This window comes from Homo sapiens, chromosome 7 (assembly GCF_000001405.40).
Source record: "Homo sapiens chromosome 7, GRCh38.p14 Primary Assembly".
Lineage (NCBI taxonomy): Eukaryota > Metazoa > Chordata > Mammalia > Primates > Hominidae > Homo > Homo sapiens.
In genome coordinates this window covers 106,014,554-106,036,537 of record NC_000007.14, presented here as the reverse complement: position 1 = coordinate 106,036,537, position 21,984 = coordinate 106,014,554, and the positions used below count along the sequence as shown (strand labels likewise).

The window sequence follows — 21,984 nt, the reverse complement described above, 5'->3', positions numbered from 1 at the left end:
TAGCTTATCAGCAGGCCACATTCAGCTGTAGAAACAGAATGGAGGCTGCTCAAGGGCAGGGATGGGAGCTGCTGTGTTTCCTAATGAGTCAACGCTTGGCACATGGTAGTTGCTCCACAGATATTTATTGAATGAATACGAAGGATAAACACACGCTAAGTTTGAAATGAGAAATCCTAAGTTTCAATAGCAATCATTGTCTTCAATGTTCACTCATTTTGTAGCTTAATTTTCACAGCCATTACAAAATACATTAAGTAAAAAGGCAAACAATGAGAACCCCAGATGTGAAAGGGGGCTCTGGGGAGCAGAAGTGTCATTTCCCAGTTCTGCTTGTGAGCCACCCGTGCTTGCTACACAGGCTGAGTTTCAGACCCTGCTTTCTAATGAGCACAACAAAAAGCTCCAATGTCACAATCTACTATGCAGTTTCAAAGTCTTCGACAATTATAATTGTTACGTGGTCTAATTCCTGAACGTATTTACCCCAGTTTTATAATGAATCAGAATGAGAAAAGTAAACATTGGCTATAATCAACTCATACCTGTTTAAGGCCTTGAGAGGGAGATGGGAGAAAACTTTCACCAAATCCACGACGGTTGCTGTCTTCATTTTATTCAGATAATTTTGTTCCCCCCAAAACCTGGTCAACGCTGGGAAATTGGCTGTCTGTAACCAATCAGACTGATTGCCAGCCGAGTCTTCGTTGCAACGTTGTAACTTCACCTTAGCCTCTGATTGGTTGCTTTTTGCAACCAATCAGATGTTTGCACAGGAGCGTGACCTTTGTAACTCCACTTCAGTCTCTGATTGGTTGCTTCCTGCAACCAATCAGACCAATTGTGGTCCACTACTTCATTTCCATGAGGTGAGCATGAAGTGGCCAAGGGGAAACCTCCAAGGGGTATTTGGACTGAGAAGACTGTATCTGGGCCCTTGAGTCACTTGCTCAGGCCCGTTCCCACACTGTGGAGTGTACTTTGGTTTTCAATAAATCCCTGCTTTCATTCTTTCGTTGCCTCATTCTTTCTCTGCTTTGCTGGGCATTTTGTTCCATTCTTTGTTCAAAACTCCAAGAACTTGGACAACTTGCAGTCAAGACCCTCCACCGGTGACACTTTGACTTCTGGATTTCCCCGAACCAAATAGCCGGATATACAAAAGAAACGGGGCAGCAGGTGTTCTCTCCTCCTGGCGCACTCTTGCCCCTATTTCTTGAGTTTCTCGAGGCTTGCCTTGCGACTAGGAAGACACTCAGCTCTTCCTGCCTATCACCAGAGAAGACACTGAGCTCTTCAGAGAGGCCCCAGGCTTCAGGAAGTCCCTCTTGGTGCCTGACTTAAATCTCTTCTCTGGCCATTAAGCACAATTCCCTCTTGCCCTGTCATCACTGGAGAAGAAAGACCAGCTGCTCACCACTCTCTCCTTTTAATTATTCTTTTTTTTTTTTTTTTCTTGACACAGAGTTTTGCCCTTGTCACCCAGGCTGGAGTGCAGTGGCGCAATCTCAGCCCACTGCAACTTCTGCCTCCTGGGTTCAAGCGATTCTCTTGCCTCAGCCTCCTGAGTAGCTGGGATTACAGGTGCCTGCTAACACGTCCAGCTAATTTTTCTATTTTTTAGTAGAGACAGGGTTTCACCATGTTGGCCAGGCTGGTCTCAAACTCCTGACCTCAGGTGATCCACCTGCCTCAGCCTCCCAGAGTGCTGGGATTACAGGCATGAGCCACCTCACCCGGCCCTTTTAATCATTCTTAATGGGCTTATAAGCAGTTATTAAGTCCCCCTTCAGCCTTCTCAGAACCTCATTTTACTTGCATTGAAGCTGAGAGCTTCCAAGGAAAGCATTTGACTCCGGGCCCCACAGATTTGCAATGCCTTAAATGGGCAATCAGCCACTTCACTCACTTTAACCTGCATAAATGAACAGTTCTGCCTTCTTTTGCAAAGTTTAAATCCATTCAAGGGAGTTCCCTGGCAACCAACCCTTATTAATAAATCACGCTCAATCTAGGCCAGGACAGGCATTTTGCAAATGCTTCTTTTGCTTGAGAAGTGACACTGGCACTAGGCACACAGTAAACAAGCTGCTGCTCTCTCTGAAGCTCTACATTTGCTGGATCCAGTCTGTCTCCCACAGGACCTTGTGGACCTGGTAGGCTCTCACCTGACTCCCCAGTTGGGAAGGGAGTGCTTCCCTAATGAACACTCACCTGGACCTTTCTTAGGGTTACTGGACTAGGGTCGCAGCAGCTGGGCAGCAGGGCATAGAGCTCGAGTGAAGCTTGCTCAGGCTCTGCTAGGCACACATTGGAAAGTTACATTTCCTATTCCATCATAATACCATTTATTCCCAGTTCATTGCTCATGCCTACAGGTGGAAGTCTGAGTTTTATGTCTAGATGGGGCTTCCAGTATGTCCCCACTCAGAGTCCTGCAGTTCCTTCCAATCATAGGAAGTGGGAAGGAGCAAGGCAGGTAGGTTGTAAGGCTGATGGTGTTTCAGCTTTGAGGAAAAAGTGATTTCACTTCAATAGTAATTTTAACCAGAATGGCTAAAGTTAAAAGGATTGACAATCCCAAGTGTTGGCAAGGATAGAGAGCAATTGCAACTCTCAGTGTTTGCTGCTGGAATGTGAATCAGAGCCACCACTTTGGAACTCTTTGGCAGATCCAGCAATTGCTCCAGCAATCCCACTCTTAGATATATGAGCAAAAAAGTGAGTGTTTATGTTCACCAAAAGACATGTACAAGAAAGTTCATAGTGTTGTAATTCACTTTTATTTTTTTTTTCTGAGATGGAGTCTTGCTTTGTCACCCAGGCTAGAGTGCAGTGGCACAATCTCAACTCACTGTAACCTCCACCTCTCAGGTTTAAGCAGTTCTCCCTACCTCAGCCTCCCAAGTAGCTGGGATTACATGTGCCCACCACCACACCAAGCTAATTTTTGTATTTTTTAGTAGAGACAGGGTTTTGCCATCTAGGCCAGGCTGATCTTGAACTCCTGACCTTAGGTGATCTGCCCACCTTGGCAAAGTGCTGGCATTACAGGCATGAGCCATCATGCCCTGCCTGTAGTTCACTTTTAAGTATATTTTTTAAAAGTAAAAAATCTGAAGCAGCTGCCACCCAAGTGTAGAATAGATAAATTGTGATATAATCATAGAATGAAACCAGACATAACCATGAAGAGAACTGAACTACTGCTAGACAGGACAACGTGGATGAATCTCACATGCAGGATGCTGATCCGGACACCACAAGAAAAAACAAAAGAAGGTGCCTACTGAGTTTTCTTCTTTCCAGATGACCAACTCTTAACTTACTCATCTGTTTTTTTCACTGTTCTGCTTCTTTTGAAGAAGATTTGAGGTGACTTACAAAGGTGTATGGCATATTTATAACTGAAGAAATCTGGGTGATGTTAAAACGAGGGCAGGAAAATAAGGTGGAAACCAGATGTAAGGATAGTCTTCACTATTTATGTCAGGAATTCCTACAAACTTTCTATGGTGAACAGAATAGAGCTTCCTAGCAGTCAATGCAAAGAAGAAACACAACAATTCCACACCCCAAAGTTAACAGTCTTGCTTATCAGAAGCACAGGTAGTTCTGAAATCTGATAGAAAATGTTCCTGTATCATTTCAGAACACGCAACTATGTGATCAAACCCCTTTCTATTTGTTTAAAAATTTGTCAAACATCCCATGTTTGACCCTGGATGTCTGAATCCCCTCAGCCCACATTTTCCCCCCTACACCATGCCCACACCATCCCCATAGAATTTAGGGTGAGGCAGCATCTCAGTGATTGACAGGCCCCTCCTTAGACCCCGTTTACTTTCCTGGGTGTGGTTTGGGGTAAGCCCTGTTCATGAAGGCTGGATTTCTGTTCTTTGGGTTGCCCAGCTTGCCACCCTCATTTCTGGAACCCAGACCAGCATCCTCAGCCCACGCTTTGCCACTCAGCTCATCTTCTTCCCAGTTGGCACTTCTCAGTGACCCCATCCCTTCCCCAGCAGTGACTCTGCGTGGGGCAGCTCCCTGGTGGCTGGACTCTTTCCATTTTGGCATTTGGGTTAGTGGATCTTTCCACTTTCTGGCTCCAGTTTTTGAGTTGAATTCATATGTTTCCCCGGTCACTAGTGAAAAAAAAATACAACAATCACATAAGCCAGAAAATTCCAATGACTGTCTCTTCCCCCACTTCTACCCTGCTCTGTTCTGACTCCCAAGGGAAGATGAAGCACACTAGAAGGTGTGAATCACTGACACAGACAGTAGGTGTGTGAATAGCCCCACAATCTCCACCAGCCTGCCCTTGCCACAAGCCGTGCTGCTCGGACCACACAGGTAGCAAACAGCAAACCTCTCTGGATAGAAAGGCTTAGGAGCGTCTCAAGGACATCTCAATTGCAGGATGAGAAGGCCATGTAACTCTTGAACTCCATGCAAGCTTTGGATAAATTAGGTTCAATCTCTAATGGGATTACCCGTTACTTTCTGATTCATTTTGTTTGTTTTAAAAGACCCCTGAATTCCTGCTATAAAAAGGAATTCACCAAGTGAGAAGGAAAAGGCTGATTTTTATTTATGTTAGGTTAGCAGCAATTTGTAGACACAGATACAAAAATCTGGTCCCGCTTGAGATGATACAAGGAAGCCATTTTTATTGTGTCCGAGCCAGCAGACACTAATTGACTTAGGCCAGTTGGCTCATGTCTTTCTTTTTTTTTTTTTCTCTCAACTACACAAAAACACAAAAATCCCCCCTTTTGCTCTGGAAGAGCCTTTTGCTCTGGAAGATCAGGTTTAAGGCAAGCCCTTGCTCCTTGTCTTTTCCATACAGCATGAGTGGCCTCTCAGCTCAGGATCCCACCAGCACTTATGCTAATGTGGGCACATTATGGTAACAAGCACCTAATAATAGAGGGAAATTTAATTCCAGCAGCAGCAGCAGCGGCGGCGGCAGCCTCTCACTGGAGAGGAGCCATCCTCCTTAGGAGGAGGACCGGTGCCGTTTGCATATGAGGGTGGCAGGAAGCCAACACACTTGCCTCCTGAATTTGGTTTCCTTCCCTTTATTCACGTCTATAATTGAGCCTTTGTAAGCAGAGGGATGAGTGTAAAGGAGCTAAATTTGGAGCTGATTTCACGGGGGTGATGAGAGCTCTGGAGGCCAGCTCTACCTTATGTTCATCTTGCCGACCAAGAGGAAATTCTTGGCCCTGATCTAGGGAAAAAAGAAACTACACTTGCCATTTCTCTGTATCTTCCACTACTAATAAGTGCTATTAGAAGCATCCAGGAAGAATGTGGATGGGCTGGGGGGGGCAATCAGTACCAAACAGCAGGAAAAAAAATGTGGATTCCTGGATTCACCAGTTCCCTCAACTGGTTTGTAATTTAGGAAGGGAGGCAAGAAAGAGGCATGGCCCTTGAACGTGAGCCTTTAGGTGGAGACCCACTGAGGCCTCACGTAAGTGTGACCCTGTACTTGAGCATCTGCTAGCCAGCTGGGTTCACAGCTGATCTCACGTTGTATTTAGCCTAGAAGAGTCAGCACTATATAGGCAACATAGCCAAACGGATTGACAAAATGAGCTAAAAGCAGGAAATTGGATAAGATCCTCCATGCTTCTACCAGTCTGGAATATAAAAAGCATTCTTACAGTGGTATTGCCACTTAATTACCTGGATCTATGGCTTCTCCATCAAAGATAGTGTTCATCTGGATAGTTTCCTAAGGAGAAGACAGAGACAGCATCAAACACAATCCTACATTCCTTCCCCCAGGCAAAGCTACACATCCTCACAACCCAAGTTCCTTAACCAAAGCCTTCTTGACTTCTAAGTCTTTAATTAGGCACTGTGATAGATGCAGGGGACACAGTGATGAACAAGGCAGGCATAGTCACTGCCTGTACAAAGCTTGCCAATTACAAACAGGTGCTGCAATGCAGAGTAATAAGGCTATGATGGGGAGATATAGGGTGTTATGGGGCACAGGTAGGGGTAGAGGGGACATTTAAACCACACTTGGGGGTTAAGGAAGCATCCTGAGTAAATAAAATCTGAGCGTAGAAGGAAGAGTGGAAATGCCACACAGCATGGCTAAGACCTACGTTGTGTCAGTGAATTGCTGTCAGGCATTGTCAAGGTGGACACAGGTGAGCTCCCAGGTGTCCGTACCTCTGGCCCTGGCACTCTGGCCCTCCCCTGCGGCCTCCCCTTGCCTAGGCCAATGCAGTGTCGCATCTGGGCCTCACCTAAGCCCTGTGCTCCAGGTCTTTTCTCTTCCCTGATCTGTCCTTGGTGCCACCCTCCAGGACCTGACTTCTGCCTAATGCACCTGTCCCTTGTCCCCATAGAAACACCCCCTTCCCTCACATGCTGCCCTCTAGAGGTGCCAAAGTCAGGGTCACTAGCACAGTAACAAGGATTGTGTTTGGAGTTTAGCAAGCTTTCCAATCTCCAGTTTTTATCACTTAAAGGATCCCCTACCTAGTTCCCCACAACTCCCCAACTCTGAAGAGAGAGGAAATGGGGATTATATGGCCTTCATCAATTTGACCAGCTAAGCAGCCCCACTGTTTGTGGTCATAGGTATTTATTTAATAGACTAATTTAATATTACATAGTTCTAGAGCAATCGCTAAGTGGCATCCCCAAGGGTACTCGCCTTAGACAATAAGACCCAGGAGACCTGAGACTGCCTCTTTTCCTGTTTGTACACTGGCCAGAACATAGAAGACTTAGGGGATGGATGTGCCTGAAGCCAAAATTCCAGTGCCCTGCACTGACTTCCTCATTGGAGGAGCCATTGAATTATGCAACAAATTCATGAAGCTTGGACCATGACAAAGCCTTATTCGTGGGGGTAGGGAAGAGCTGGAGGGAGCCACCTTCAAGTTCCTTCACTTCACTTCCCAGGGGGTAGATAAGGTTCTGTCAAAGAGAGAGAGAGAGAGAGAGAGAGAGAGAGACAGAGGTGGAGGAGAGGGAACTTTCCAGCTATCCTGTAACACTTTGCATTTGTGTGACACTTAACAATTTTCAAACTATTTCTCCATCTGTTATCTCAGGGCAGATATCCTCACCCCCATTTTACAGGTGAGGAACCTAAAGCTCAGAGAGGCCAAGGAAGTCCCCGAGGTGATAAGGCTAAGTGGGTAGAGCCAACCCCGGACCAGGGAGGGCCCTTTCTCTGTCACTTTTCTGCAAGGTAGTGGAAGAGCAAAGAAAGTTTAAATCAGCTGGGCGCAGTGGCTCATGCCTATAATCCCAGCACTTTGGGAGGCCACAGTGGGTGGATCACTTGAGGTCAGGAGTTCAAGACCAGCCTGGCCAACATGGTGAAACCCCATCTCTACTAATAATACAAAAAATTAGCCAGGCGTGGTGGCACGTGTCTGTAATCCCAGCTACTTGGGAGGCCGAGGCATGAGAATCGCTTGAGTCTAGGAGGCAGAGGTTGCAGTGAGCCGAGATTGTGCTACTCCACTCCAGCCTGAGCAACAGAGTGAAACTGTGTCTTAAAAAGAAAGAAAGAAAGAAAGAAAGAAAGAAAGAAAGAAAGAAAGAAAGAAAGAAAGAAAGAAAGAAAGAAAGAAAGAAAATTTAAATCTCACTGGAGGCTGAAGCACTAGTTTTGGTCTTTAAGCTTCACTCCCTCAACTCACTCTCGTGGAGAGCTGGTATAGATAATAAACACCACTACTCAATATTTATGAAATCCTGTTCTTCTGCAAATATATCAGCAGGCATGTTCAGTGGAGGGAACAAATTCTATCAGGAGCTCGTCACACAGCAATCTGTTCCAGTAGCCAAACACAAGCACCTCCCTGAATGATAAACATGCCCACAAGGCTGTGGCAGGCCTGCCTTCGGGGGAGACGGGAGCCCCTATCCCCCAGCGTCTATGCCTGGTGCCCCACACTGCCCATACTCACCACCACGACGTCTCTCTCTGCAGTCTTCGTTTCTGCAGAGAACAGAACAGGCAGAAGTTAAGCTTCTTGGGTGGTAAATTGACCTTAAAATTCCACCTCCACAACGGTATTTCCCCTAAATAGGCTTCGATCTCAGTCTTGCAGACACAGCAAAGAATTGTTCTGTCTATAGATATGTTTCTTGACAACTTTCCATCTTCTCAGAAAAAAATACGTACACATATGTATACACACACACACAATAACATACGAACAATTTAGTTGTTTTTTATTCTTTTTCTAGCTTATTATCAGTGGACCTAGAAAACTGGCTTTTACATGGCTTTTAAGATAAGAAAGAAAGATGGGATTGGATACCTCTGTTCATAAGGTGTGGGTTTTGTGCATTAATTCCCAAGCCCTTTTATTTTATTTTATTTTATTTTATTTTATTTTATTTTATTTTATTTTATTTTATTTTATTTTAAGACAGGGTCTCACTCTTGTCGTCCAGGCTAGAGTGCGGTCACAACTCGCTGCAGCCTTGACCTCTTGAGCTCAAGTGATCCTCTCAGCTATCTCCCCAGTAGCTAAGACTACAGGCGTACACTACCACACCCAGCTAATTTAAAAATTTTTTTTCTACAGACAGGGTTTCACTATCTTGCCCAAGCTGGTCTCGAACTTCTGGGCTCAAGTGATCCTCTAGCCTTGGCCTCCCAGAGTGCTGGGATTATAAGTGTGAGCCACCATGCCCAGCCCCCATCCCCTTTTTAAAAAGTGGGATTAGAGACAGTTTGTGAAAATCTCATTTATTAAAATCATCTCTGTCAATATGATCAATAACCACTATAATCAAATTTCTAACCCTGTTGAGACATGCCTTAAGCATGTCAGACACATGCCTGTAGATGGAGTGATTAAAGCAAACTTTTTTTTTTTTTAATTAAAACACTGTCCAATTCTTTGTCCTGTCTCCCCCACACTCTGGAGTCTACTTGAGGCCAAGCCAGGACACCTCCTCAGACCTGGAGCTGCTCAGATGGACCTTCCCAATTTACCCACTTCTCTGAAGTCAGTCAGCTCTCAGCCCATCTCACCACCCTCATCTCCCCCTTCTCACTAGTCTAACCTAAATAATTTGTGGAAATGATCAAATCCATTAGAATCTGGGAATCAAATATTATCTGTTCTTTTTTTTTTTTTTGAGACAGAGTCTCACTATGTCGCCCAGTCTGGAGTGCAGTGGCGTGATCTTGGCTGACAGCAACCTCCACCTGCTGGGTTCAAGCAATTCTCCTGCCTCAGCCTCCCGAGTAGCTGGGACTACAGGTGCGTGCCACCATGCCCGGCTAATTTTTTGTATTTTTAGTAGAGACGGGGGTTTCACCATGCTGGCCAGGCTGGTCTCAAACTCCTGACCTTGTGATCCACCCACCTCGTCCTCTCAAAGTGCTGGGATTACAGGCGTGAGTCACTGCGCCCAGCCTTATCTGTTCTTTCAAAAGAGGCCTGTGTCCAGCACAAAGCATTAGCTGTCCTCAGGACACCCTCCATGGGCTGCAGTAAGCAGGTCCTGTCTACATTTAACACACGGAGAGTTCTTTCTTCCTGTGCCATGCAGCAAGGGACAGACCTAGGTGTTCAGCTGAGCTGATTGGCGAGGGCTCTAGGTAGGGCATAGGCAGGACCAAATTGAGATATCCAGGCAGGCCAAGGCACTGTCCCCCCACCCTTCCCATTCTCCAGCTGCAACCGACCTCCGCTTCCTTCCAGCCACAGAAGATGCAGCTGAAAATGCTCCAAGATGTGATCGCGGCCTGATTCTTTGCCGAGTAGGAACCTTTTTACGTAGCACAACAGAGCAAGCAAAAAACAACAGACAAGGGAAACAGGTACTGTACATACCTCCTTTCTTTGTCCTATGGGGGGAAAAAGAATGGCTATTAATTCACTTGAAAGTATGCTGCACTGGCACACACATGACACCATGGGGTTCTTTGGGCAACTATGCCCTTTGAGATACAGGGGTTGACTGAAAGAGGTGCCAGGGATAGGGGCCAGAAAGAAAACTAGATCACCACGCCTGCTTCGAACAAAGCAGCTTCATCACTATTGGCTTTGGACTAGGGAGGTTCTGGGAATTTGATGAGTTGAAAAGTATCACCTTATAAACTTCAGGGAATACATTGTTTCTGATGAGAAAACCTGGTGAGGACATGCCTGCCCTAGTCAGACTGTCCAGCGAGTCTTCTTGCCCTATCCCTTTCTCCCCAAGAGCCAGCAGAGCAGAAGGCTTGGCTCACAACAGGGAGGTTTGAGAGCTGGCAGTTACATTTTGGTTTCCTGTCACATGAAGAGCTGGACTCAGACCCTACGAGATTTCCCATGATCACCTTGGATTCTATAGCTCTGTAACCCTAATTTTCTTCTTTGCTATTTGACAAAGTTGGCTGTCATATGGTATAACTAATTTCCAGAGAGGTTGAGTCTGAGTCTGGTTTTCTAGCTAGTTTTTCTTTTTTAAGTCAACCATGTTGAAAACAATTAATATTTACAACATAAGTTAAAAGAACCAGGTTCAAGGTGCATATTTAACGTTTAGCCATAAATTACATGAGAGTTGCAGTGTCTATTGGATTTGTTTCTTCAAGAACTTCTATCCAAATCCCAGTACAGTACACCACCATCCTTACAAGCAATTACTCTTTTAGAGCTGTTTTTTTTTAAAAAAATCAATTTGTGAATAGAGTTCAAACAAAAATGCCTTTTTTAATTTCAGCAGATGCTCGAGGATTTCTTACCTTGAAGTCAAGGTTGCCAATAGCAACAAACTTCCGCAATAAATATGGCAAAATGCAACGCACATCTTTATTCTAATGCCTTGTACTTTTATACAGTCTTTCATCCATAGATTTTCTTATTTGACAGTTAATATTTAATATTTAAAATACCCGTAAAAGGCACACATGTCTTATCACCCCCTCTTTTTGCCATTGAGAGATCCTAGAACTCAGAGGTTCCAACACCTCAAGATACTTGGGCATAGAGCTAAACTTGGAATCTAGAATCCTGAACTCATTGGGACTCATCTGTGAAGAATAATGAAACAAGATTTGTAAAAACTGGCTGGGTAGTGTACTAAGCATTTACTCTATATCAGGAATACAGTTAAGTGCCTTGTTTACATTTGTTCATTTAGTTGATTAATTTTACAAATAAGAAAATTCAAGTTCACAGAGGTGGTCACTTGCTCAAAGCCATATTCCAAGAAAATGGTAGAGCTAAGACTTGAGCTCAGGCCCATCTAACTCCAAAACTCAGGCTCAGAACCATCTAAGCTGTAAGTTGTAAGAGCTACTGAGAATCAAGGAGCTTGGCTCTGGGAGAAGTTTGTGATTCTTTGGTGCTCTCTTCACGTCACTCTACTACCTCACTTTAGCCAGTAAAAGACACATCACAGATTGGCACAATAAGAGGCATATTAGTGGGCAGCTGAAAACTGGAAAAAGAGAAAACAGGCCTGCGTTTACAACCCTTAAGAGTGAGAGACTGAGACCACAAGCAAAACACCAAGAATTATTTGGTCACACAAAAACCCGGCTGAGTCACTGGAGACAAAAGCTTAATTCCCTTATTGGTTTTGTGTGCTTGCCTTAATTCCATACTATCCTTTAAATATTCTACAAATAAGAGCACGGCATATTCTATCGCTATTTACAACAGGGCTTTGCTGAAGATTTTATCCAGGGCAAGGTCATCAGAAGGTTGATGCCCCAGTCTTATTAAGAGCCTCAAGGACAGAGTAGGTTGCCAGGGAAAGCCAAAAGGATGGTTTCCTGGCCTAGCAGGTGACAAAGAAAGTGCACCAGGACCGAGGGGAGCTGGGATTCCTTCCCCCGTATCTCCTTTTCCTGCCTTCACTCCAGGCAACCTGCCTTGTAGAGAAATCCTGATTCTCCATTTTTCCTTCTCCTGATGTCACCAGAAACAGTGTCCTAAAGGAGGTGGGGAAGAGGGCCCAGCCCACTGGCAACTTACAGAGGTTCCTTGTTCTTCCCAGTCTTGCAGGGGCAGTGTCTGTGGATGGCTTTGGCCAATAGGACGACCAGGTACACGAGGAGACCCAGAAGCAATATGGAGCCCAAAGTGATGACAAACGGCACGTACCATGCAGATGGAGAGTAAACGTTTTTCCTCAGGACCTGATAGGTGACCCTGGGCTTGAACAACAGAGAGCAGGGAGGGTGAGTAGAGGGTGGTAGTGATTTTGACATTCAGCACTCTCTCGTGTTGAGTGTTTATTCCACTCTTTGTTATTGTTATTGCTCTATAAGTTGGACATCTGTGTGCTCACAGTTCTTGCTGCTTCAACCCATCACCTTATTTATAGTCTTTGCAGACATCCATTAGATCAAAACCCAGAAATTTTAGGGAACTGAAAAACAACTCTAGGCCTTATTTTATTCTCTGTCTTCCCCTTCCCCAAAGCTAAAAAAAACTCCATTGGCTTTTTTTCTGCCATATCTGGGCATAACCCAGGGACGAATATAGCCATTGTCTCTCACCGAGACAGCATAAGCCACGAAAGTTGTTTTTTTAAATGCCTTGTAGGCTTTTCAGTGTTTTCTCAACTACAAGCTGCCACTGCCAGAGCAGTGGGCTGATATCACAGCAAAGCCTCAAGTTCAGCATCTGCTTCCTAGAGCTGGAGACAGATAACAAACAAGTTACGGAGGTTTCAGGATTGGAGATGTCACAATCAGGTCATGCTCTGAGCCCAAGAAAGGTGGGAACTCCTCACTCAGGAGAGCCTACCAGCTCCTCCCACAAGGAAAGTCCTAGGGTTGCCATATGCCTCCATTCACTGGGGTCATATTGACTCGAGCATGGGAGAGAGAAGCATGAACCAGCTCCTGGCAAGACTCTGAGAAGAAGCTGGCCACCTCCATAGTGGGTTCTCTAAGGTTCTGATTATCTTCCTTCTGGCATGCTGCAGGTATCAGGCTGCTGACCAGGGGTGCAGCTTCTACTAGGAGGAGGAGGAGGAGGAGGAAGAGGAGGAGGAAGAAAGGGGACAGATGAGTCAGCATAGATGCAAGCCAGTTCCTCCAAGGGGCAGGGAAGATAATCCTGTTGTCAGATTCAAGGCTCTCCCTTCCTTCTCCAGGCCAATTCTGTGATAGCACCTGGTCATTTTCTTCCTACCCTTTCCCACAGTCTGTATTTACTTTGTCAATTTGAATACTTGTTTGTAATCTATCTCCCCCTCTAGATCAGTGGCTCTCAGACTTTAATGCACATTAGAATTCCCTGAAAGGCTGATTGAAAACACAGCTCACTGGACCCCACCTCCAGAGCTTCGGATTCATTAGGTTAGGGGATAGAGTTGGGGATTCCAGGTTCCAGCATCCTTCCCTGGAGGTCATGGTGATGATCATGGTTGGGTAACCTATAACTTTAATAATCTAGGCTGGGCCTGAGAATTTGCATTTCCAACCAGTTTCCAGGTGGTGCTGATTCTGATGGTCTAGGGACCGCACTTAGAGAATCACTCGCCTATACAATAAGCTTTCTGAGAGCAGGGATCATTTTTGGCTTGTTTGCTAAAGTGACTGGCACACTATAGGCATTAAATCGATATTTGTAGATTGGATGAATTTTTTTGGAGCGGAGGTGGGGTGTAGGGTACAGATTGGTACCTGGTGATTCTTCAAAAGATGTGGGAAAGAGCACCCAGCAGTAAGCAAGCAACCTAATTTCATGGATATTGACTTGCAAAGACTCTTCTGAACAAGCAGAGAGGGGTTGTGAAGGTAGCAACTGGCAGCATGCCCATGGAAATCAGCTCCTGTGCCACAAGCCACACAGATGGTTGAGGTCTGATCTCTCACAAGTCTCTGCACAAACAACACACTCTTCTCTACCAGAACAGGAAATGTTAGTGGTTGAGTTAGCGGTTATGAGTCTGAGGTCTCACCAGATTTTTGCCACCCTGCAGCTACTCCAGTCCAGCCCATGGTTGCCATTTTTGGCAACATCCTAATACCTCAACTCTTCAGTCCACCCCACATACCTCCAGGCCGGGGAAAGAAGTCCATCAACATAACTCACAAGGGAATGTGCCTGGGGATTCCAGGTCCTAAAGCCCTTACCCTGGGGGTCGTGGTGATGATAGTGGTTGGGTGGGGAATGACTTTAATACTCAGTGTCACTGTTCCTGTCTCAACAAGAGCCTCCGCTTTCTTCCTGTCAGACATCAAGTTGTCATCAGTTACGTAGACAAGTAGCTTGTAGTCCCAGATCTTATCAAACCCACCAGCATAGTCAAAGCGAGATGTAAGCAGCAGGCGTGTGACATTGGAACCAGCATTGGGAGAGAAGGTGAAATGATTGTTGACGTTACCTAAATGAGATTTGATGCAGGGGTGTTGGTAAAAGGAAGAAAAGAGAGTAAGAAATAAAGGTTTAGAAGAAAACTGCATTCAATCTTTTTCTCAAATGTCCACACCTCAAGTGTAGACTGTGTCTCTGATACACCAGAGCTGGATTAGTTATATGCTACAGGCTTTAACTGCACCAGAGATGGCATTAGTACAAAGAAACTCTTGCTCACAACCAGTGTGGCTGCAAACAAGGCTGAGTAGAAAAGGACAATAGTACAACACCCTTAGCCTAGGTGCCATCTTGCTGAGTATTAAGCAGAGACTTTGTAACCCTGGTGCAGCCCCTTCTGATTTCTCATCCGGCAATTATTTGGTAACAACACGTGTAATTCACACTCAAACAAATGAGTGGGTTTCAAGAGGGTAGAATAGGTCACATCCCTAGCCATAGGCCAAGTTCACTGCATGCTTTTCACAGGACCCAGTGGGTCACACTGGTTATGGCTGTCCCTGGAGTCCTCCAAAGGAAGGTGCCTCCTGGCTTTGCGGGAATTGCAGTCCCAGGTCCTCCTGAACCCACCCCATCACACCCCCAAACACACACACAGCTCTGCTGGGGCTCATGGCTCAGCTCAGGGAGCCTGGGGCAGAGAGGCTGCCAGCCCAAGCACATGCCCGCTCATTCCTCCACTGGCTCCAGACTCATTACCGACTGAACACCAGTAAATGGAGCAGGAGATGATGCAATTTTTGCTCCCTTAACAGCAAAATGCTCCATAAAGGCCTTAGGGCTCTCAGTATGGATTGTTTCCATCTTCGGCAACTGCAGTCTCGAGGCAGTTTCTGCCCCTGGGTTTTGTGACACAGCCAGCTCGAGAGGCTTCCTACTGTTCAAGTTCCTGCTCGGCCAAGGGCACAGCAGGCAGCAGGGATGGATTTTTACTCTCTCACGTGGAATTGTTCTGCTTGTTTGGGTTTAAATCTCTGGCCCCAGCACTTCATTAGATGAGCTATTTTGGTCTAATTTCCATTGAGGGGTGCTCTTTTTTCCCTACGATGGTATATTTTTAAAGACAGAAGATGAATGGAGCAGAAGAGAATTCCTGAGGACACGTTTCAAAACGCACTTAATCTATTTAATCTATTATTATCCAGAGAGAGGACTGGGATTCCCTGCCCCCACTACCAGCTTTCAGGAAAAGAGGTGGTCGAAAAGTTGGACTGCATTTTTTCTAACAACACTAATATGCTTTATGACTCATACTGTAGTCAGGAATTGGGGGGTTCACCCTTTTCTTGGGCCTTTGGGCAGTCACGTATGGGGTCTGGGAGGAGTAAGACAAGAAGGGGAAACTGAGAGGAGTGCCAGGAAGCATAGGGGCTGCTAGATTTTGTGTCTCTGCTTTCCTCATTCAAATACTTCCCCAGCAAGCTGGGTGCAATGAGGCATGCCTGTAGTCTCAGCTACTTGGGAGGCTGAGCAGGAGGATTACTTGAGCCCAGGGGTTCAAAACTAGCCTAGGCAGCATAGCAAGACCCTATCTCAAAAAAATAATGCCCTCCCAACTCCCATCCCACTTTGCCCAGATCAGTGTGTGAGCACAGACCCCTACCCTAGACAACTTCAGGGTCCTCAGAGACAGGGCCAGGATTGTCGACACCAAGTACTATACCTGGGCCAATGGAATAACGGAAAGATCTGGGGCTGGAATCAAGGTCGGTACATGTCAGCTTGAAATTCTGAATATTTGTGCCAACTTTCAGATCCACTGGGAGGGCCAGGAAATAAGAGTTTGGAGTACAAATTGGCTTTTCATCATTTTCTTCAAGGATGTTCACAGTAACCTAGAGTAGCAAGAAGGTGGTCATTCTCAATAGCTAAAACTCATTGAGTGCTTACTGTGTGTAGGCAGTTTTCAGGCTAAGCACTTTTCATAAATTAGCTCATTTAAACTCACATGAGATAGCTAACATGATTATTCCCATTTTATGGTGAGAAAATGGAAGTTTAGAGAGACTAGGTAATTGATCTAAGATCATTCAGCTAGTGAATGGCAGAGTTGGGATTTGAATTCAGGTCTGTCCTACTCCAAATCCTATGCTATTAACTTCTACACCATATGCATGTGTGTGTGCACATTTAGTGTATGTATACCTTGCCCCCCCCCCACACACACACACATGCACCTGGACACATAGGCTCACCTGCAGATGACACCGAGTTGTTTTTCCAGGAAGGTGTGGATTTACGGTGTCTCCATGTGCCACCTTGCCTGCTGCCCCTTGTAAATGGAACTTCTTTAACTCTGGCATATGCAGAAATGGTTCTCAGCCCTGGCTCTGCTTTCTTGGGCCCACTTCAGAACCAATAGATTGGAGGGTGGGGGTCAGGGCCCTCATTGATGTTCCCTAGCTGATTCTAATATGCAGCCAGGGCTAAGACTCACTGGGACAGAACAAGCAGGCCTGGTTAAGCTGGGATCTCATCTGTAACCTGGGCTATTAGCACTGTACTAAGCCCTAGAGCTAACCTGCCATAAGCAGGGGCCAGCCTATTCTCTTTCATCGCTGTCTTTTATGCCTGGTAAATTGGAATATAGCCTGGGATGCCTGCCAGCACAGAATCATAGAATGTCAGCCCTGAAAGGGACTTGTGTGATCGTTTAGTTCATCACCCCTTTTAAAAAGCTTATGAATTTTGAGTCATATTCATACTACCTTTGAAATTTGGGATTTCAGCTATTTCTGAGCCCGGGAATAAATTGAAATGTTCACTCTAGTTAGCCCCCAGAGTGGAGTCCATTCATTTTCTTTAAAAAAAAAAAAAAACAGCCTAACAAACACTGCAATTATCTCCAACTTTCCTTGGGTAGCAATGCCAAACCTTGCACATCATTAAAAACATCATCCCATTAATTCAAAGCAAGTTATCGGAGGAAGCGGACTATTCAGGCATTGGGGTTATCAGGTGACTCTCCGTTTAAGAGATAGAGAAATATGGACACGGAGATAAGCATTGCTCAGACTCCCTCGGAAAATTGGGATCAAAGTTGAAAAATGAACTCGGTCTCCTGACTCTGAACCAATCTTTGTCTATGGCTGCCTGCTGCTAACTGAGAGTTCATTTTGCCTTCACGCTTTTTTACTTTACTAATGGGAAGGACCAGGGAATAGTTTGGTCTTTGTGGCTATCATGTTGCCCTTGGATAATCCAAACCACTGACAACATGGACCTATTAGGTCCCTGCAACTCGAGGTGTGGCAGGGGACCAGCAGCGCCGCCCCACTTGGAAGCACGTCAGAAATGCAGAATCTCAGGCCCCAGACCCTCTGACTCAGAATCTGCCTGTAACAACATTCTCAGCCTCAAAGGTTGGGAAGCAAGATAGCAGCACAGCATCGTTTTAAGATCTACCCCATCTGGTATGCATAGAGGCAGGGTAGGAACACGGCATAACTGCTCCTGGGGAGGAAATGCATAACTCCAAAACCACACTCAACTTCTAGGAAGTGTGCATTTCACCAACAGCCTTCAGTGAAGGCAAAGCAAGATTTACAGGGCCACAAGAGGAACCTTGTCCCACAAAGTGGCTTTGTGGGTCCACCAGACATTCTAATATCTGGCCAACAACTTTAGTGCTTTTGTCAGTCACCCGCAAACTTGGGCCTCAAAAAAATATGGGGCTGGGTGCAGTGGCTCACGCCTATAATCCTAGCACTTTGAGAGGCTGAGGCGAGTGGATTACTTGAGGTCAGGAGTTCGAGACCAGCCTGGCCAACATGGAGAAACCCGTCTCTACTAAAAATACAAAAATTAGCTGCGCACGGTGGTGCACACTTGCAATCCCAGCTACTTGAGAGGCTGAGGCACGAGAATCGCTTAAGCCCAGGAGGTGGAAGTTGCAGTGAGCCAAGGTTACACCACTGTACTCCATCCTGGGCAACAGAGCGAGACCCTGCCTCAAAAACGAAAAAAGAAAAATGTGGATCTTTATTTCCCAGGGCACCTTTACTTGTTTCTCACCACATCCGCAGGATGTACCCTGGGAAGTTTCCTCATTGCCACATCCACACTCTGGGGGTGCCAGAGAGACCCTAAGTCAACCAGTTGGGTTACCGGCACTATACCAAGCAGCACCACTCACAGTGACAGAGCTTGTGTCTTCGTTGTTGGTGGCCTGGATTCTGAGAATATAGATGGGGGTTGTTTCACAGTCCACTTTAGTTACCAGCTGGAGTTCTCCTGTCTTGGGATTAATCCAAAATACATTTGGATACTGGAGGCTGGCCCCTCCAGTGGAGATGGAGTACAGGAGGCTGCTCTGGGGGAGGTCTTTATCAGTGGCTCGCACCTGTCCCACTCGGGTTCTGGCTGGAGGAATAAAGTACCTGCAATAAGTCCTGCTTTTAAGGGGTAGAGAAGGATGATTCAGGAACAGATGTCCTAACTGCCATGGTAAGAAGGACTTCTGGAGGCCTCCTTGCTGTCCAAACTCTGTTTTATAGCTTCAATTCTACTAAATTGAAATAATGCTAACCAACACCCGCTAGGTAACTGACCCTATGATCCAAGCAGTCCTGTGAGGTGTAATAGACAATTTATATCTTTGTGTGTGTGTGTGTGTGTGTGTGTGTGTGTGTGTGTGTGTGTGTCTGTGTGTGACGGAGTCTCACTCTGTCGCCCAGGCTGGAGTGCAGTGGTGCGATCTCGGCTCATTGCAACCTCCACTTCCTGGGTTCAAGCAATTCTCCTGCCTCAGCCTCCCAAGTAGCTGGGATTACAGGTGCCCACGACCACACCTGGCTAATCTTTTTGTATTTTTAGAAGAGATGGGGTTTCACCATGTCGGCCAGGCTGGTTTCGATCTCCTGACCTCAAGTGATCCGCCCAGCTCGGCCTCCCAAAGTGCTAGGATTATAGTCGTCAGCCACCATGCCCAGCAATTTATGCCTTTATATAGGCTCCAGGGACACTAATCATTTTGCTATCAGAAACAATAGTACAAAGAACATACAACCTCACACATACATCTCTTTGCAGCAGTATTGTCTAAAAGTCCCGTGTTTTTCAATTTTCTATAATGAGCATGAATTGCTCTTTTAAAAATAAATAATTGTTAAAGAATTTAGTAATTGATGATTACAGATTATAGATTTTTAAATCCTCTTCCATTTTGCAATTTTTACAAATATTGTTGGTGGGTCTGCTAGCATTCTGGCTTGTTTTGTAGGAGTTCCTTCTCATAAATTACACTCCTCAAGGGCAGAACCTTCTCTTTTTCAATTCTGTATCCCAGCACTAAGTTTGTAACCCAAAGTAGGTGATCAAAAAGAACTGCAGTAAGATCTGTGAATTCCCAGAAAGCCTATTCCTTTCGAATTTGTTATTCACTGGATAAGGTATAAGAAATTAAAAGCATTTTCTTTGGACTTGCATTTTGCATTTTGCTTGAAAACTTAATGTCAGGAAATGGAGACCATCCTAAAGAGAATGGATCATTTTAGAGGGAGCGTTTTGGTTTTGGTTTCATTTGTTGTTGTTGTTTTTAATATGGAAAAAGTATCCATGATCTAAAGATGAACGGCTGTGGGGAGTCTATTACACTAGAGCATTTATAGTATTACCTTCAAACTGAGAGAGCGAGAGGGAGGCAGAAAGTGAAGCTGGAAGTGGGGAGTGAGTCTTTTCCTTAAAGGGGGAGGAGCCTGCAAAAAGCAGGGTGTTGTAAAGGGCAGAAAAGAAGGCCTTCAGGGAATCTTAGTAGGGGAGAGAGAAAATGCCTTTATTTTGTTTGTAAATGAAGGAAATATAGAAATGGGAAACCTTTTCTGTTTTTAAATTTTAATTCTCTGAGTGAGCTGGATAAAACTCACAGTGGAGACCAAGAGAAAACTTAAACCTGGAAAAGGGAGGATTAGCGGAATCAGGCAAACAGGCAAGGAAGCAATCAGAGGCTTCTGAGAAATGCAGTTTAACCAACAGTTTTCAAAAGTCCAAGTTTCACCTGAAGGGCTCCTCAGCAGCGAGGAAAATTTAAAAGAAATAAGAGGTGCAATAAATACTAATCAGCTGTGAATCACTGTGCAAAACAGCATGCGAGGCCTCCAGAAGGGAGTTTTCCACTCCACAGAACACACGTTTGGATGGAGTCCATTGACAGCACTCTGGTCTGTGTCTTATCTGTTACTTACCGGGCCTTCTTTCTGACACATCAAATACATAGGATGGCCTATCAAAAATGAGAGGAAACTCATTTTCTGGGCTTGTTAGGATATAAACGTAGACGTTATCTAAAAATGGAAATAGAAACACATTTAATCACAAATCCATACTCATCCATTTGTTTATTCAACATCTTTAAAGAATCTCCTGTGTACAGGCTTTGCGCATAGGGGATACCAGGTGGCTAAGACATGGGAGCTCCTGCCTTTTAGATGCCGAGGGTGTTCACCCTTTGATAAGCGCATGAGCACACAGAGCACTACAGAACCCAGAGTAGGAACAGCTTCCAGGAGAATGAACAAGCTGAGCCTTATAAGGATAGAATTAGACAAATGGGGCAGGGAGGAGATTGGGGGGTGTTGTAGGCATATGCAAAAATGCCAAGGTATAAAACCACATAATTCACTCTGGAAAACTTCAAGCTGTTTGCCCAGTTGGAAAAAAATGGGGGCTTGGAAGCAAGTGACAGGAGGTGAAGCTGGAGAATTAAGCAGCAACCGAATGGTGAAAAATCTTGTATGCCAAGTCAAAGAGTTGGAACTTGAACTTGACAGCTACAGGAGATGCTCGAAGGCTTTAACCAAGGAAGTCATATGATGGCATTTGCATTTCCCTTCAAAGACTCTTAAGTGTTGTAATTCAGCCGAGAAAGAGGGGGTCCCCGCATGAGGGCAGTACTAGTGAGAAGGGGGACCTAGCACAATACCTAGTATTGCCCAGCAGAGTTTGGTCATTGATACTCAAGAAAGACAATCATGAAATAAAACAAAATGATACTTGCTTTTATAGTAAGGGGGGGCCACATCCTGCACCTGGATTATCACCGTATATTTATTGCCGGCTGCTAGGTTACTTGGATTTTCGTAGTCTAGATCACCAATCAGCTAGATTAAAACAGAGATAGTAGATTATACAGATTAAACAATCCTATTTATTGGGCTGCGAGAGACATTTTCATATACTGCTAGTGGATATATAAATTGGCAAAACGCTTTTGGCAAACACTTTGCCCATAAAAATTAGGAGCTTTAAAAAGTTATGACCATACCTTTGCTCACTGCTAGTGAACTTATGGAAATAATTTACCAGGAGACAGAATCTATGTACAAAGATGTTCATTAAGCACTATTGCTCAACAGCACAGGATCACAACTTCAGATTCGTTGAAGAAAAGCACAAAATTGAATCTTATATGCAGGGCTGTTTCATTATAGTAGTCCCCCCTTATTATCTGTGGTTTTGCTTTTGACAGTTTCAGTTACTTGGAGTCAACCACAGTCTGAAAATAGTGAGTACAGTACTATAATATATTTTGAGAGAGAGAAGCCATATTCACATAACTGGTTTTCTTTATTGTTTTTTAGAGATAGGGGTCCCCTTTGTTGCCCAGGCTGGTGTGCAGTGGCTATTCACAGGTGTAATCATAGCTCACTGCAGCCTC

At 45.1% G+C, this 21,984-nt stretch overlaps 1 protein-coding gene across 2 annotated transcripts in view, besides 1 other annotated feature; it reads right to left on the bottom strand.

Moving 5' to 3' along the window:
* Nucleotides 1–105: 105 nt before the first annotated feature.
* The window catches only part of CDHR3 (cadherin related family member 3), a 73,169-nt gene continuing 51,290 nt past the window's right edge, over nucleotides 106–21,984 (bottom strand). For both annotated transcript variants that reach the window (NM_152750.5, NM_001301161.2), the window contains 10 exons: nucleotides 21,325–21,427; nucleotides 20,513–20,611; nucleotides 18,466–18,692; nucleotides 15,994–16,165; nucleotides 14,090–14,340; nucleotides 11,976–12,157; nucleotides 9,843–9,856; nucleotides 7,956–7,987; nucleotides 5,698–5,746; nucleotides 106–4,145 (listed from right to left, as the gene is read on the bottom strand). In NM_152750.5, coding sequence (NP_689963.2) covers nucleotides 3,841–4,145; nucleotides 5,698–5,746; nucleotides 7,956–7,987; nucleotides 9,843–9,856; nucleotides 11,976–12,157; nucleotides 14,090–14,340; nucleotides 15,994–16,165; nucleotides 18,466–18,692; nucleotides 20,513–20,611; nucleotides 21,325–21,427 — 1,434 coding nt within the window. In that variant the 3' untranslated portion in view covers nucleotides 106–3,840. The remainder of the gene's footprint in view (nucleotides 4,146–5,697; nucleotides 5,747–7,955; nucleotides 7,988–9,842; nucleotides 9,857–11,975; nucleotides 12,158–14,089; nucleotides 14,341–15,993; nucleotides 16,166–18,465; nucleotides 18,693–20,512; nucleotides 20,612–21,324; nucleotides 21,428–21,984) is intronic.
* Nucleotides 5,102–5,602: an enhancer, noted in NCBI's record as "H3K4me1 hESC enhancer chr7:105671382-105671882 (GRCh37/hg19 assembly coordinates)". NCBI's record gives its function as "activates a minimal SCP1, AML or CMV promoter by ChIP-STARR-seq in primed H9 embryonic stem cells {active_cell/tissue: H9 hESC(primed)}" and the evidence as "EXISTENCE:reporter gene assay evidence [ECO:0000049][PMID:30033119]".